Source organism: Homo sapiens, chromosome 11 (genome assembly GCF_000001405.40).
Source record: "Homo sapiens chromosome 11, GRCh38.p14 Primary Assembly".
NCBI classification, from domain to species: Eukaryota; Metazoa; Chordata; class Mammalia; order Primates; family Hominidae; genus Homo; species Homo sapiens.
Window position 1 is genome coordinate 32,030,692 of NC_000011.10, and position 17,432 is coordinate 32,048,123.

At 40.9% G+C, this 17,432-nt stretch overlaps 2 long non-coding RNA genes across 4 annotated transcripts, besides 1 other annotated feature; one reads left to right on the top strand and one right to left on the bottom strand.

Moving 5' to 3' along the window:
- Nucleotides 790-1,178: an enhancer, noted in NCBI's record as "E-200 element". NCBI's record gives its function as "enhancer in olfactory bulbs, late olfactory tract, hindbrain, and cerebellum" and the evidence as "EXISTENCE:transgenic organism evidence [ECO:0001131][PMID:23359656]".
- LINC03031 (long intergenic non-protein coding RNA 3031) lies at nt 5,288-10,627 on the bottom strand. 2 transcript variants are annotated; one of them, NR_120526.1, is made up of 3 exons: nt 10,417-10,627; nt 5,965-6,305; nt 5,288-5,557 (listed from the first exon to the last, which is right to left on the bottom strand). It is a non-coding gene; the product is annotated as a long intergenic non-protein coding RNA 3031 (long non-coding RNA). The 2 variants fall into 2 exon arrangements; NR_120527.1 differs by lacking the exons at nt 5,288-5,557; nt 5,965-6,305 and adding an exon at nt 9,376-9,686.
- A 645-nt stretch (nt 10,628-11,272) lies between these two features.
- Nucleotides 11,273-16,415, top strand: LOC105376613 (uncharacterized). Of its 2 annotated transcripts, XR_931164.3 has the most exons (4): nt 11,283-11,359; nt 14,094-14,189; nt 15,480-15,512; nt 16,190-16,415. It is a non-coding gene; the product is annotated as an uncharacterized LOC105376613 (long non-coding RNA). The 2 variants fall into 2 exon arrangements; XR_931165.3 differs by lacking the exon at nt 14,094-14,189 and having other exon boundaries at nt 11,273-11,359.
- The last annotated feature ends 1,017 nt before the right edge of the window (nt 16,416-17,432 follow it).

The window sequence follows — 17,432 nt, forward strand, 5'->3', positions numbered from 1 at the left end:
CTGAAATTTTAAGAGTGAAGTGAAAAATGACATGATTTTCAGGGACTGGATTTTCTCTTCCCTCTAGGACTCCTCACACACACACACACACACACACACACACAAACACACACACACACAGACACACACGCAGGACCATCCACTAGCGTACTCTTACTTGGCTATTTGAAGTCATTTGGTGACTGCTAGAATTCTGGACTAGCTGAGGCTGAGGCAGATACAAGACACAATAAGCATTTCAAAAAACATCTCACAATGTGATCATCAATGTGTAATATGAGCCGAGGGTTAGTTAAATAAAATGTGAAAGCCGTATCAATGACTCTTCTGGCTGTCCAACATTGCATTTCATTTTCCTTTCCAAGGAGGATAAGGGTAGGGCCGGCGAATAAATTATAGATGAAACCCCCATCATATGTTTATAAATACACTAACATTAGCATTTTACTTCCTCATAAATCTGCAGCAAATACTCAGGCACAAGATAGAAAGCCCTGTAAAACAATGATATATTCTCTGCTTGCAGGCATTGACTAGTGGCCCATTCACTCCCGGTGCTGTTCTTCAACCACGCTCCCTCCGCTCATGCCCCGTCATTTAAAATCCATTTTAATTTAAAGATGCACAAGGCAGTGCTCGTGGTACATTTACTCATCCTAGTTATACATCATGGAGCAAGGAAAAGAAAATTGTTTCATCTAGAGATACGGTTCAATGTGGTCACCACTGAACAGTGGAGTAATTACCATATCAGACCCACTCAAAATGCACTCAGGGTGTTCTGTGACCTATCATTTGCTAATCTGCATAGTGAAGTATAGCTTCATAACTATAAATTGCTGACTTAATTAAAACCAAGACCTTTCTGTCATTTAATTACAGGGAGAAAGGTTATTGCTTAAATGCAATTTTCCAAATGTGATTTCTTAACAGTTATTAACTGCTTCACCATCATTTATTGTTTCAGATTTTTCAATTTGAAAATACTTCCCGTGACAGAAGTAATGACTTCATGAAAAACTCAATCTAGAGGGAGGCCAGCCAGCCCATTTGTTTCTCATAAGTGGAGCCGACAGGAAACTGGAAAATGTCACCGAAGGATCCTGGGATGGCTCTCACTTTCGGGGAGCAATTAAAACCCAGAAGGTTGTATCAAAGATGGGGAGAGGTTGTTTGCAGACATTTTAAAGGTGGTCTGTCTTTCCTATCCTAGCTGGCAGGTGTGTTTGCCTTGTAAAATATGAGGGTGGCAGTGGTGGCCAGTGGTGGGTCAGTCAGCTCCTAGGCTCCTAGGCACCCATTTGAATGTGTAGGTCCTCTTCCGAATATTTCTGCATCTAGAATTTCTTCTCCCACACAAGGTAGAACTGCTACAAGTTTGGACATGGCAGATAGCCACACAGTGAAGAGAATAGTCCACCTTTTCTTCCATCCTCTGTCTTGCTTTAATCCTTGGATGGTTGTGTCTTCTCTTTTTCTCCATGTTTTAGTAGGTTGCCCAGAGGTTATGCAGGTAAATTAGAGTGACCAGTGAAGTGGGCCAGTCTAGATAGCCAAGAAAATTTAACATCCACCAAAGCACTTCTTTAATAACAGGGGATTTAGTTATTGTCTTAATTCCCATGTGCACAAAATGGAGACTTGTGCAACTGGTCAACTTAATGCTTCGATTCATATTATAGCTCCATCTGCAGCAGAGAAGCAAGGAATTTCACTGTGATGGACAATCTAGTCTTTTCCTAGACCCTGACAGCTCTGTGCTAGAAAATTTACAAAAATGGACAAATGTGCTTCCTGTCTACAGGGATCTAAATGTCGGTTCCAGGCAGGAGCTGCCTTGCTTACTGGTTAAGGAGAACACTCTTAGGCTCTACTTTCACTTTAGGATAGGGTTAAAGTTAAAATTGCTCAGATGAAGAAGTGAAAATCCACCCAATTTCTCTCTACGTTAGCCATTTCTCTTGGCTTTATTCATTGTGGCAGTTACACAAAAATGACTAATGGGGATTTCATAAAATCTTAGTCAGATTGTTAATAATCCCTTCTGCTCTCCAGCAGCAGCGTGCTTCAAAGTTTTCAAAGCATCTTCACACACTTTAACCAATTTCAGTTCAATTAAGCAAATATTTCGGTAACACAAAGATTAGAAAGGCACTGCTGCTTGCCCACATTCAATCAGGGGAAGTCATCTGGACCTTCGTCCAATTCTATAAGGTAGCAAGGAAGATGTTTTCAGGAAAGCTGCACTGTAGCCTCCCTCCACCTTCTTTTTTTTTTTTCCAAGAAACAGAGACACACTCAAACTTGATGAAATTAAGTCAAAGTGAAGCTCAGCTCAGTATAAATATTTAGAGACCTCAGGAAAACCAGGAAGGCTGAGATCCAGTGCTACTTTGTCTCAACAGACCACATGGTCCGTCTTATCTCTACTTCTGGCTTTCTGCTCTTACTTTTCTCTTTCTTGATCATTTCCCCGTCTTTCTCATTTCACACAAGGCAGCAATCCTCACTTCTCAGTTTGACCATGCACCACTGTGATATTGTGAAATGTCTATTTCACAGTAGATAGTGTCAGAATTGAATGGAATCAGAGAACATCCTCCTGGCCTGCTGGAAAATGTGCTGCAGAATTGGTTGCTGGTGGAGAGAAATCCCCACCCACTTGTTGGTGACCAGAGGTGACATGCTCTATGTTGAGTGGTTTTGGCTGTGTGAGAGCAGGAAAAAGACCTTGGGCTTTTCTTATATATCTCTTAGAATCACCAATGGCCAACATCCTTGTCTCAGTTCAAATTCCTGGAAGAGGTAATCTGGTTGTCTGAGTGCTTCACTCTTTAGAAACTAACAAATCATGGGTTACTGGCTAGCTGGGCCTTTGGACAGGGCAAGCAACAATTGACACATTTAAGATGGCAGATAAAAAATTATGATCTTTATTTGAGAGGTAAGGAAACTAAATCTTGCCAGGTTAAGCAATCTGCAAACGTTCGCATGACGTTTATGCAGCCGAGTCACATCCACATTCTCTCCCTGTCAGTTCCTTTCCCGGGAGCTAGAAATATTGAAGTCATTTAAGTAGGAGATGATTATTAGACATATACGTACAACTATAGGTTTTTGTATTTATGTTTTATTAATTGACAAGAGTACAAATCTAATTAAAGGAGAAATTGCATTGGCTTAAAATAAGAGAATAAATTATTTCTTTTTGGTAGTTAATACAACTAAAGCTCTCATTTGTACCCTATCAGTTAATCTGTTGACTATTAATATCACTTAATCAGAAAGATGGTGGAGGAGAGTAACAATGACTAATACACAGTCAAGATTTTAATTTGGAAACAGAACACTACATCTTTTTACATACTAAATGCACAATAGTGACAATTAATTTCATTCTTGCTGTGAGTGCTTTATGTAGCAGCCACCTATTGGGTCTAAAAATCTGGCTCTATCATGAATGGGATCCATGGGATAGGATGGTGCCATAGATGACTTGCTTTGCTTCTGGGAAGAGGAAATGATTTACATTCCTTTCACACTATCACCACCACCACTACCAGAAATGAGATGGTTTTGTAGAAACATCACCATATACTTTGTAAAATGATTGGTTGCTATAAAACATTGTCCAGGGTGGAATGCGCAATTTGCAAAGAGGCCAGGGGAAGACCATTTCTGGATGTGTATGCAGCTGACTTTTGTGTTAGTGGACACCCCAGTTTGGTACACCACATTGAGGCCTGATAGCAATGGCCACAAACACAGCAAGCCACAAACCAACCCTTGCTCAATCCTGCAATTTAAAGAGATTGCTCATTCAAACTCACTGTAGTTAGACAACTACACTGATTCTAGACCAATTCCTTTTCCCTCAACATGTCAGTGTCGTTTTTTGTTTGTTTGTAACAGCTTTTATTACTCACATACCACAAAATTCACTCATTTAAAGTGTACAATTCAATGGCTTTTAGTATATTCAGATTTATACAACCATCGCCACAATCAATTTTAGAACATTTTCATGAACCACAAAAAGCCCCTGTACCCCTTAGCAGCCACTTCCCAGCTCTCCCAATCCTAGGTAATCACTCATCTACTTTCTTTCTCTAATTATTTGCCTATTCTGGACATTTCATACAAATGGAATCATAATATGTGGCCTTTGGCATTGGTTTCTTTCACATAGCGTAATGTTTCCAAGATTCATCTGATTCATGTTGTAACATGAATCAGAACTTCATTTTTTTAAATGACTGAATAATATTCCACCATACAGACATGCAGTTTTATATATCCATTCACCAGTTGATGGACATTTGGGTAGTTTCTACTTTTTTGGCTATCCTAAATAATGCTGCTGTGAACATTCATGTACAAGATTTTATATGACCGTATGTTTTCAATTCCCAGGAGTGGAATTGCTGGGTCATGTGGTATCTTGGTCAGCTTGGGTTGCTATTATAAAATACCACAAACTGGGTGGCTTATCAACATCAGAAATTTATTTTTCACAGTTCTGGAGGCTGGAAGTCAGAAATCACACTGACGTGATCAGGTAATGGTGAGGGTTCTTTTTTGGGTTGCAAACGGCCCTCTTCTCATTGTATCCTCATATGGTAGAGAGCAGACAGAGAGGGAGAGAAAGCAAGCTCTCTTTCCTTTTTTTCTAAGGGCACTAATCCCATTCATGAGGGCTCCACTCTCATGACCTAATTACTTCCCCAAGGCCCCACCTCCTAATGCCATCACATCAGGGTTTAGAATTTTATCAGATGAATTTTGGAGAGCAGACACAAACATTTAGTCACAGCATATGGTAACTCTTATATTATTCTTTTGAGGAACTTCCAGACCATTTTCCAAAATGGTTGCACCATTTTATATCCCACCAGCAATTCAGTATCTTTTAATAAGTGGATTTTAGAGGTTCCAGCAGCAGCTCTGTTTATCCCCTGGCCTTTTTACACTCTGGGAAGCTCATAAAATAGCCTTTATGGGTGCTGAGTAAGACAGGTACCCAGAATCCCTCCACCTACCAAGAGCTTTCAGAAGGAACCTTAAAGAGTGCTTAGTCCAATGTTTTTCAAAGTGAATTCCCAGGAACACTGATTTCATGGAATGTTACTAACAAAAGAACATCTCTTCCTTTTTTAAAAAAAGGTGGTTCTTTGCTCAGATGTATTTGGGAATCACTGGGTTAAACCAACTTAAACGGACTCTTTTCTTCAGGATTTCTCAGAGCTATTAATATGCTAATGTATACAATAAATTTCCAAAAGGCAAATTGAGAGTTTCTAAGCAATATTTATTTGACCGTAGGTTGAAAGTTGTCCCCCATCTGGGAGCAACTTCCAGAAATTATAATCCTCAGAAGACACTGAAATGTTGATCTGGTCCAATCCCTTCCTGTGGCACCTGCCCTCTCTCAGGAGCTCCTAATGATCACAATCTTCTTTGCTACCATTTACCAAGGGTCTGTTATGTTAGGTGCTTCACATACGTTAATTTGAATGATCCTTTCCAAAATTACCTCAAAAAAGTTTAAGAAAAAATCCTTTAAAAAAAAAATGGGAATGATGTTAGTCCCCTCTCACAGAAGACTAAACTGAGGCTCAGAGAAGTTGAGCAACTTTCCTCCAAGGTAGCACAACTAAACGGTAACAGCACCTGGACTTGAATCCAGGTCTGGCTCTCTTCAAAGCCTCCATTTTGACCACTACACTGCATCCTGGGGACTGCACTTCATATTTTTCTGCTGGATTTGATACCAATTTAAAATAAGGAAGAGCAGGGGCAAGCCAGAGGCCAAACTAGAAATTTAAATATAAAGGTCAGTAAATAATTGAACTATTCTCAAGAGATAGCCTAGGTATTGGCAAGACTATTACCTCCTTAGACTCATACACAGCTTCTTACACACACACACACACACACACACACACACTCACTTGGACTAATTACCTGTCTTTTCCAAATGGTTGTTTAATCCATTAGTGTAGGTTTTTTTTTTTTTTTTTTTTTTTTTTTTTTTTTTTTTTCAACCAGAGCAAAAACTAAGTACTGGGATATTTGGAGAAAGCAGAGACTAGAAAATGCAACCAGGTCCAATTTAACTGCAAAATTACTTCCTCACAGAGCAAAATGGCTGGCTCTGACACCCAAGCTGTTCAGTGGGACATAATGGGCAGAGTGAAAGAGGCATCAATGGCTGTGGCCTCTGAGGATAGTCACAAATTCCTCTGGATTGTAGTTGCCTCATGTGTGTAACCCTTAAAAATCCAAGTCACCATGTGGCCCAGTATCTGCAAAGAAACACAAATTCAACATTTAAAAAAGTAAAACCATTGTAAATACTGTCTGCAGTATCTTAAGAGTGAAAGTGAGAAGGTACATTAAAAACACATAATAAGGCTGGACGTAGTGGCTCATGCCTGTAATCCCAGCACTTTGAGAGGCAGAGGCAGAAGTGTCTCTTGAAGCCAGGAGTTTAAGGCTGTAGTGAGCTATGATTGTGCCACTGCACTCCAACCTGGGAGACAAAGTGAGACCCTGTCTCAAAAAATAAAATAAAATAAAATAAAATAAAATAAAATAAAATAAAATATAAACAAAAATGGAACAAAACGTCTGGAAATGATTTTTTCCATAACTCCTCCTCTTTCTTTCCACCTCTCACAAGTACAGGAGGGGCCTCAAAGGTCTTTCCTTCCCTCGCTCAGAGGACCCCGAAAGACTCTGTCTAGAGCTCACAATTTAAAGAGGCTCTTTCTTCTTCTTCATCCTTCTCCTTTCCTTGTCTTTCCTGTAGTTCCCTATCTTTCCCAATTGAAATCTTGCTTCCTTGCTGGCTTCTCTGCTCCCCCCACTCACCTTTACCTCCACTGACACAGTGAAAGCTGAGGCATGTAGGTGATCAGGAGTGTACAGGTGTGTCTGTGTCTGTGTGGCGTGGGGGTGGGTGTAGGTAGGAGGTGGTGGGGGTATACAGTGAGAAGATCACAGATAATGTAATCAGGTTGCTTCTGGTCACTGCTAACATTGTGATGTGTCTGAACAGAAATCCAACTCTAAACAAATATCTTGAAAAAGTAATATACACTTAAGGCTCCCATAGGACTACCAAAGGGGAGAACTACATAGCATGACCTCCAGCCAGTGTTGTAGTGAGTCTCTCAGCAGAGCCAACTTAGCCTGACAGCTGCTCCCATTTCTGGCCTTTTGGCCTCCTTACAAATCTGTGAGTCTTTTTTTTTTTTTTTTTTTTGAGACAGGGTCTCACTCTTATCACCTAGGCTGGAGTGCAGTGGCACAATCATGGCTCACTGTAGCCTTGACTTCCCAAGCTCAGGTGATTCTCCCACCTTAGCCTCCCAAGTAGTTGGGAATACAGGTGCAAGCCACCAAGCTCGGCTAATTTTTGTATTTTTTTTTGTAGAGACAGGGTTTCTCCATATTGCCCAGGTTGACCTCAAACTCCTGCAATCCTCCTGCCTCGGCCCTCCAAAGTGCTGGGATTACCTGTGGGAGCCACTGTGCCAAGCCTGTGAATTATTGTAAATGAAGGTCTTGAATTTTGTCACATGTGTAAAATAATGACGTTGGACTAAACTGTCTCTTCCATCTGAGAAGCCAATGATTCCATGAGATCTGTGTTCTCAAAGTGTAAGTTATTTACAAGGGGAAATCCATACCCTGAAAGAGCTGAACTATGGAAACCTTGTCTTTTCTGTCTCACCAGCCCTAAATCTTACGCTTTAGGCAGTGTTACATGTAGGGTGAAGAGGTACCACTCAGATCTGTGAGCTCTGCTTTTAGACTTCACCTAATTCTTCCCTTTGGGAAGAAGATAATATCATTTTTATCTGTCCAACATTGCCCCGTCTCACCTCTTCTAGAAACAGATCTTGCTCCTTTTGTGCCAGTCACAACCCCCGACTGTCTGGTCATAATGGTTGACCAAAGAAGGTGGCGAAATGACCCAAGGCCCATCAGGGTGTATCCTTAGGGATTTTTCTAAATATAAGCTGAGGAGAAAGAGTCTTTTGCATCTTTGGTAGGAAGCTGTAAGTATGTAAGCCTATCTCTTGGGAGGATCTGGTCTAGGGAAATGAAGACAACAGGCAGGGAGATGCAGAAAGGAAATGGGAGAGCATCCACCTGGTGACGGAGCTCCTGGATCCCAGCTTCTCCAAGCTCAGCTCCACTCTACGCTTTCTGCAGTTTGAGTCTGTGAATTAATGAGGCCCCCTTTTTTGCTTAAGCCAATTTCATTTGAGTTTGGGCCACTTACATCCAAAGAGCCTTGCTACTCAGTGTTGGGATGAGGAGTTGGCAGTTAGAATCTGCAAGGGGCTTGGAGATTCCAGGGACATGCTATGCCCTCTTCTATTTGTTTGCAAAGTGTAGCAGGACTCTAACTCTTTATTCTTGTGTCCTGGCCTTTTCTGGATGCTTAAATAAAATATCAAATAATCTTGCTATCTTCCATCTCTTCTCTGTCCAGTTTGTGGAAAGCAACCTCTGCCTGCTTGTACTGGGAGCAGCTCTTCTAGATGTCATTCACTGGCACTCCTCAATCAGAGAGACCTTTGTCTACAGGTTAAAGGACATTTGTAACTGCCACAAAATGCAAATTCAGACTGCTTCCCTTCACTTTCTGGTAGTATCAATATTTGCATTTCTTAGATTTCCATATTAGCCACAAAATGGTCTACCAGTTTAAAGAAGGTAGAAACTGCAAAATGACTTTTTAAGACCAGGTGATCCGACAGTTCAAAGGCATTCTCATGCATGCTTGCAGTCCTTGAAACATATCCATATAGTATTGTTTTTAATTATTTGTGCCCAAGGAGTTTTTGTTTTTGTTTTTTTGTTTGTTTGTTTTTAATTTAAACAAGAAGGTGTTAAATCCTCTGCTATCTGGGGAGAACTGCAGTGCCCAAACACCCACCCTTCTCTTTCTCTTGGACTTCAGTGTTATTAGATGAGGTTTGGGAAAGTTTTATTAGCACTTTTTATCATGACACTGGGACAGGAGAGAAAATGAATTCAAGCTCTACCAGGGTTCCAGTGTTAAACTTGGAAGGTGCTCACGGCCACGCTCAGCCTTACTGTAGGATATTACTTGAGTGAGTGCACACCCTCCCCACAAACTGAAGTTCTACTACACGCCTTCACTCATCTCCTACCACTCTTACTGGGTTGCATTTCAGCCTCACTGGCCTGCTTTCCTTCCTTGAACTTGCTAAATCCACTTCTGACTTAGGATCTTCCCACCATTTCCTTTGCCCAGAATGTTCTTTCTCCCCTGGCTCCTTCATGATACTGAGGTCTTCAGCATAAGCATCATATCCTCAAAGAAACCTTCCCGTATCACCCTGTTCCAGGCCTTTATTGTTGCCACACCAAAACAGTGGCTTAAACATTAATAATTATTTATTTGGCTCTGGAGTCTGAAAGAGTGAGATCTCAGCTTAGGAGTTCTCACTCCAGGTCTTTCATGTGGTTGCTGTCCAATGGGCATCTTGAAGTTTTTTCCATCATGTATCTGGGCTGGGAAGATTCAAACATCTAGGTGCTGGCACTGCTAGCTGCTCAGGTCTCTCTCTCTCTCATTCCTCTGAATTGTCTGTCCACATGGAGACTTCATGATAGCTGGACTTCTTACATTCAGCTGAAGGCACCTAGAGTGAATGTTCCAAGAAAAATCAGCAGAAGCTGCATGGCCTTTTCAAACTGATAGCCACTTCCTTTGTGTCCTATTCTTCCAGGTAGGTACAGAAGCCCCTCAGGTGCAAGGGGAAGGGACATAGACTCTACCTACTAGTAGAACAGTATCGAAGTACCTGAAGACTTGCTTTAAGACCACCACACACTACATACTTTATAAAACAGCCTCCCCAGCACCATATCACTTCACTTTATTATAATTCTTTGCATAGCCCATAGTGCTATATGTCATATTTTCTTATTTGTTTATTTTCTCTCTAGCCCCCAAAAGAATATAAATTGTGAAAATAGGGGCCTTATGTGTCTTATTCACCACTGTATCCTGGTGTTCAGTGGAGCAGTGCCTGGTACTTAGTAGACAATAAGTATCTATCAAATATTAATAAGTGAATGAAGGATAAATGGCAAGGGCTATTCTGAAGGGTCATCTCACTGAGATTGTTACTGTGGGCTCCATTTTGGATGACGATGGACCCTCCTCACCCTCCTTTTTCTACTTCCTTCTTTTTACCTCCCTTCCCTCTCTCCCACAAAATAATTTCTAATCACCGATGTCAGTATTTCAAACCTGGAGTCCTTAGTATAATTGTGATCCATTGGATTCAGCTTTTACCACCTTGTTTTTGAAAACAAACATACCAAAGCATGCCAATTTCATCATTTGGGTATGTCAAGGATACTTACACAAGCCTGCACCTGGCTTATTTTACAAATCACAGATTGGCTTGAATCTGTCTTTTGTTTCTTAGGATTTTTTGGTTGGTTTTGCTTTGTTTTTTTGCTTTCCTTCCAGCCAGATAAGCTGAGATCTGGTCTGTTTCCACTGAGGGGTAGTCATCAGTCTACCCTTCTCAACATTTCTGTTCCTGAGATTTAGCTACAGACTTCACAAGCTGTAACATTCTAACTACGTGTCATTGCCACCATTGTCTCTTGTCACAATCCTAATTCTATGTTCTGATAATAAAACTTCATTAGTGTCTGCACCTCCTTTCCCGTACCTTTGAAACACTGTCTTCTGCTGAAACGATTAGCAGTGCGCTGCGTCAGATCATCCGGCTGTCTGACAGCCATTGTGAGTGAGCTAAATTGTGAGAAAATGAAAATTTCTGACAATTTCCATTATTGTCAAATGGAGATATTTACTTGTACAAATATTAAAGGTTATTTAAAGATGTAAACGGACTTCATTTCATTAGTGGTATGCATCAGGTAATAATTTAAAACAACTACCCAGCCTCATTCAAATAAATTACCAATTCATTTTCTGAAAGAAAAATGTCATTTCTCCAGGCTGTGTTTTTAACTGCTTGCAATGGTAGAAGATTAAAAAAAAAAAACCTATGAATATTTCAGAACAGAAAATGTTCAAGTTCTCATATTGTTTAACATAAACCAGACAAAGGGCTATTGTTCTGAAAACCTGACTGAGAGTTGCCCAACCAGAGGAGACAGTGAAAGATCAATGACATCAAAATGGGCTTTAAAAAAAGGAATAGTAGCAATGGTGATTACATCTTCCTGAATTCCAGTTCTAGAACTTCACTAGAAAAAAATCAGGATGTGTGGAAATACTTATCTACAAGGATGTTCATCCCAGTGTTATTTATAATGGCAAAAAAAGAAGGTAGGAAATGAAAAAAAATATGTATACAAGGCTAAGGGATTGCAGGTGTTTGAGACCAGCCTAGCCAACATGGTAAAACCCCTTCTCTACTAAAAAAAAAAAAAAAAAAAAAATTAGCCAGGCGTGGTGGCGGGTGCCTATAGTCCCAGTTACCCGAGAAGCTGAGGCATGAGAATTGCTTGAAGCTGGGAGGTGGAGGTTGCAGTGAGCCGAGATGGCAACACTGCACTCCAGCCTGGGTGACAGAGAGAAACTCCATCTCAAAAAAAAAAAAGACTAAGGAATTGGACAATATATTAGAATACAGCCATATGATGGTCTGGAGTAAAGATGATTAATAAATGTATTGTAGAAGAATTCATTATAAATAATATGTAATAAATAGGGCACGGTGGCTCATGCCTGTAATCTGAGCACTTCGGAGGCCAAGGCAGAAGGGTTGCTGGAGGCCAAGAGTTTAAGACCAGCCTAGGCAACATAGTGAGACAGTCTCTATAAAGAATTTTTTAAAAATTAGCTGGGCATGGTGGCGCACACCTGTAGTCCCAGTTACTCAGGAGGCTGAGGCAGAAGGATTTTTTTGAGCAGAATAATTCTAAGATGCTGTGAGCTGTGACAGTGCCACTGTACTCCAGCCTGGATGACAGAGTGAGACTCTGACACAAGAAACAAAACAAAACAAACAACAACAAAATAATACATATACTATGATATCATTTATAAAAAGATAAACATCTATATTTGCATTGACATGGACGCAGGGAGGGGAACATTACACACCGGGGCCTGTGGCGGGGTGGGGGGCTAGAGGAGGGATAGCATTAGGAGAAATACCTAATGTAGATGATGGGTTAATGGGTGCAGAAAAACACCATGGCACATGTATACCTATGTAACAAACCTGCACGTTCTGCACATGTATCCCAGAACTTAAAGTATAATAATAATAATAATAAAAAAATCTTGGTGTAATGTTGGACAACAAAAAAAAAAAGGAAGAGAAGGACTAAGAAGAAATAGATCAAAATGATTACTTGGTAGTGGGATCACTGGTAAGTTTTTAATTTTCATGGGTACATAGTAGATGTATATATTTCTGGGGTACACGAGATGCTTTAATACAGGCATACAGTGTGAAATAATCACATCATGGAGAATGGGGCATCCATGCCCTCAAGCATTTATCCTGTGTGTATTACAAACAATCCAATTACACTCTTAGTTATATTGGTGATTTTTATTCTTGTGCTTTTATAATGAGAAATATACCAATAATCCAATAACCATTTGCAACTCGATGTTAGGGCAAGTTATCCTTGCTTAGCTGGGTCAGCTCCTCTTTCCTTCTAGTGCAATGGAGAATACTCCTGGGAGACTCGGTGCATTAATGCTCGTACTGTGGGTATTGGCAAAAGAGACATGGAGCGAGTTGGTCTAATGTTATACAGGAAAATGTTTATGCTTTCAGGATTTGGCACCTTGAGGTCAGTCCTTTCCATTATGACCTTCAATATTACACCAGTAAAATATTCTCTAATTTGCAAATTAAAGTATTTCTTACAAAACCCTCAGGGATGAATTAGTAAGTGCATCACAACCCTCCTCTACCTCCTTAAGCTTCACCCTCTTCTAGAAAATAATGTCTTATAAAAGATGATAGTTTTCTCCCTTTTAGGAAGTCAGGGCTGGTAAGGCATTCCAATGGTTAGGGATTTCAGCAATTTCTATCTCGTTGCTTTGCTCAGCACATTGATTCCTCTTCATAGTCCAAGCTCCAGCCATCATAGAACATTCCAGCCAGCAGGAAAGCAGAGAGGAAAGGGGGGCATGCCCCAAGGTCATGGGGCAACACTTCCATTACACCCATTGTCCAGAAGCTGGTCATATGGCCACTGCAAGGGAGGATTCTGGAAGGCTGGGAAATGTAGTCCTTATTCTATATGGCTCAGCTAAAAGTTGGCATCCAATTTTTAAGGAAAAAAGAGAAAATGCCCTGGAGAGCATGCAGCAGCCTCTGCCACAATCATACATGTGGGCATCACAGGGAGACATGTGTCAGAGAAGACAAACCAAGTGTAACAGTTTTCATCTCTTTTGCATCCACTCAACCTAGAAAGCATTTCCTGGTGCTCACATTTATTTGAAAACACTCTATATACTACAGAATTCTGAGATGTGGCCTCTGGGGAAGAAATAAAACAGCTGCAGCAAATAAAGCAGATGGGAATTAAGAATGCTGGAGGAGCTCCAAAATACAATCCCATTGTCCACTAAGTGCCCACCCTACAAAGAATGTGCTCCAAAATAGAAACTTTATGAAACTTTGAAGCATTTGATTAATGTAAGCCTTCATGAATAATGCAAGGCTGTGTGCCAGGGTTTCATGTGAAGCTGAGAGAGGAGAAAGATTAGCATGCGCATTTTGGCTTTAAAGAAAATTAAGAAAAATTCACAAAGGGAACTCAAGCATTTGGGGGCAAGAGGTGTTGCCACTAAAATGGCTTCTGCAGACATGCCCCCTGCAGTGGTGGAGGGGGGCGGGTGCTCAGCAAACACTGGCTGGCTCGCCAGGGAGATTCCCTGCCACAGGGTAGGTACGGTTCACCCTCCTAAGGGCCCCCCAGGTCCAGTCCTGTATGCAGTTGGGTAGGACAGTCAGGGCCAGTCATGCATGTGGCTGCAGGCAGGCCCTGAAGATTCCTCTTTCCCCTGAAAATATCTTTCCCACCTACAGGTTTCTGGAACTAGATCTTCCTCCCTCAGATATTCTTTATGTTAATGAATTGTCTTCTGTAGAAATGCAAAGATCTTTTGGAAGGGCTGTACACAGGTATCGCTTCAAAATACAACCCTTTCTATTCTGCCCCTAAAATGTGTTTTACACATTTTATTATGAAATATTTAATACTCACAAAAGGTATAAAGAATTTTTCATGGTCATAAGTTAAAAGCGAAAAAGAATATGTATAGTTTAGGAACTACCTGAGTACACATTACCCAGCTTAATATATAAAATATTATCAATGGAGTTGAAGCCCCTTTGACTTCCCCAGTCACATTTCCTTTCCTGCCCCTAAAAGTAGCTGCCGTCTTGAATATAATGTGCATGATTCCCAAGCATGGGATGTTGCAGGAATTTATGATCTGGCCACTCACCCCCATACATCCTGCCCTTCTACTGGTTTAGGCCATTATCATTTTTCACCAAAGCCATTCATTCAGCACACATCAAACACTACTCTCGGCCAGGCACCATGACCACTGTTTCCTACCTAGTATCCTTGCCTCCAGTGTTTCTCTCCATCCGATTTACCTCCCACATTGCAGTCACAATATTATATCTCTGCTCAAGAACTTCATATGGCTCCCTACTGCCTATATGCTAAAGTCCAAGCTCTTTAACACGGCATCCAATTCCATGTGAACACATTACTAGGGCCACTCCCAGAGCCTTGGAAGGGTTAGGGTAAGGATTAAGGTGGGGTTAGGGTTAACACTAATTTCACAGTAAATGGGCTTCTGTACACATTTGCATGGCTGCAATAATACATTCCTGTGGTGTGTCTTCTCATTTTAGTGGAAGAAATTGAACAGACTTGTTCAAATCACAGCTCTGCTTTTTGCCAGACCTTGGGCAAATTGCTTTGTGCATTAGTCTGTTCTCACACTGCTGTAAAGATATTATCTGAGGCTGGGTCATTTATCAAGGAAAGATGTTTAATTGACTCACAGTTCCACATGGCAGGGGAGGCCTCAGGAAACTTACAATCATGGTGGAAGGTGAAGGGGAAGCAGGTACTTGTAAGACAGCAGGAGAGAGACAGCATGAGGTGGGGAAGTGCTGAACACTTTTAAACCATCAGATCTCATGAGAACTCCCTCTCTATCACAAGAACAGCATAGGGGAAACTGCCCCCATGATCCAATCACCTCCCACCAGATACCTCTCATGGCATGTGGAGATTACAATTCGAGATGAGATTTGGGTGGGGACACAGAGCTAAATCATATATCAATATCACTTTGCCTCTTCGAGTTTTCATTTCCTAATAGAGATAAGCACATCTATGAAAGAGACTGTTAACTAATCACCAAAATCCCTTTTGTCCTTCTTCTATAGGTCTAAGATTGTAGCTAAGATATTGCTACCCAGGTAAGGACCATATTTCTCAAATTCTTGCCAAGTCTGGGATTTGATTCTACCTTACTGAAAGCTAATATGTTAGCTTCTGACTGTTTCACTGGTGCTAATGGAAGACACAAGACCCTTAGGTCAGAGACAAAGGAGTTTAGTACTCATGACACATCAAGCAGCAGGAACATCAGCATATTTGCATTGGTTCTTCTTGCCCTGGGTCTTATGGGGGATAATACAATGGCCCCAGATGGATGTTATGCATGCAGAGTGTTTGTGTTGCAACTGAGGAGCACCAAGCTTGGGGAATCCATCACTTTTATAGTAAGCAATAAGCAAGCCTATTCATTGTCCCTGGTGGTGTGTGTGTCATAGGGAAGGATAAGTAGATGTAATTTCATTTCCTAAGGTAATTGTCTGTATAAACAACCCTAAGAAATAGCCAGAATAAAAGAGCAGTGAGATCCTTGAAGTTCTGGTATATTCAGCAAGACATGTAGGAATGCAAGAGGTCCAAGGAGGACTCTCTCCCAACAGCTCTTTTGAAACTTGATATGGCCATGTCACTTAGACTTCTGCATTAGAATATGAGGGGCAAGATATGTGTCCCTTGTGGGAAGACACCTTAAAACGAGGCTATGCCTCATTTAATTCCTCTTTCCCCTTTGTGTTTGCTGGTTAATGGCAATGACAAGAGAGATTTTGGAAGACAAGTGTTGAAAAAGCTGCCATCAGCCTGAGTCCAGGATGACTGTGCACAGAAGGGTTGCCCATCAACTTAGAACATTCACTTCAAATTGTCACGTGCGTGAGACATACACTTTTTATTCTGCAAGCTGTCTGGAAACGTCATTTGTTACAGTGACTCAGTATATCCTTCACTAATAAAACATCTCATGCAGAAGGGTTGCAAGGATTAAATGAAATTCCAATGGCTAAAGTTTGTGCACAGCTAACTCTGGGCCAGGGTCTTGCTAAAAGCTTGAGTGTGTTATTTCATTAAATAATTACAATAATCTTTCAAAGTAGGTGTCATCATCTCCATTTCATAATTGGAGATCAAAGACATTAAAAAATATTCTTAAGCTTCAAGGATGAAACAGTAGCAGAACTGGGACCAAATTCAGGGCTGACCAATGCCAAGCCCATGATTGTCTTCAGTGTGCCACATGTTTTCCAGGGTTTCAATTTTAGGTTCCAGGTTCTCTCTCTTTCTCCCTCTCTCTCTTCTCACTCTCTCTCTTTAGCCATCCCACCTACCGTTGATCCCTCCTCTCTTCTTTTTCTCTCTCCTTCCGCCATTTCTTCATATTGAATTATATTTTCATACCAGATAGCATACTGGAATGCAAAAAATAACTCCAGTCAGGAGCTCTGATTTTTGGTTTCAGCTTCCGCAAATCCTAGCTGTGAGTACTTGGTCAATCATTTAATCGCTCTGAGCCTGAGTTTTCCGGTCAGAGTAAAATAGATAGATCAGTAATAGTTGTCTTACCTATCTTACATGATAGCCAGAAGGTTCAATTAAAATACATTGCATTGAAAGTCTTTACAAATTGAAAAACATTCTAGAAATGGCAGGTGTTACTCTTTACCCCCATCCCATATGCCAGTAGTTCACAAAGTATAGTCCCTGGACAGCAGCATCAGCGTCACTGGGAGCTTGTTAGAAGTGCAAATTGTTAGGCTCCACCCAGACCTGCTGAATTATGAAATCTGGGGGTTGGGTCCAGGAAACTGTGTTTGTTAAGTTCTCCAGGTGATTCTGATGCACACTGAATTTTGAGAACCACTGTCACACATGCTTGGACATACGTTCACAGGCACACACACTCATATTCAGGTAAAATCAAGTTAAAATAAATATTAAATAAAAAAGAAGCCATATAAGAGCTGCCTGTGGATGGTGTTTGGGAGAAGGAGGTAGTGAGCCGTGCT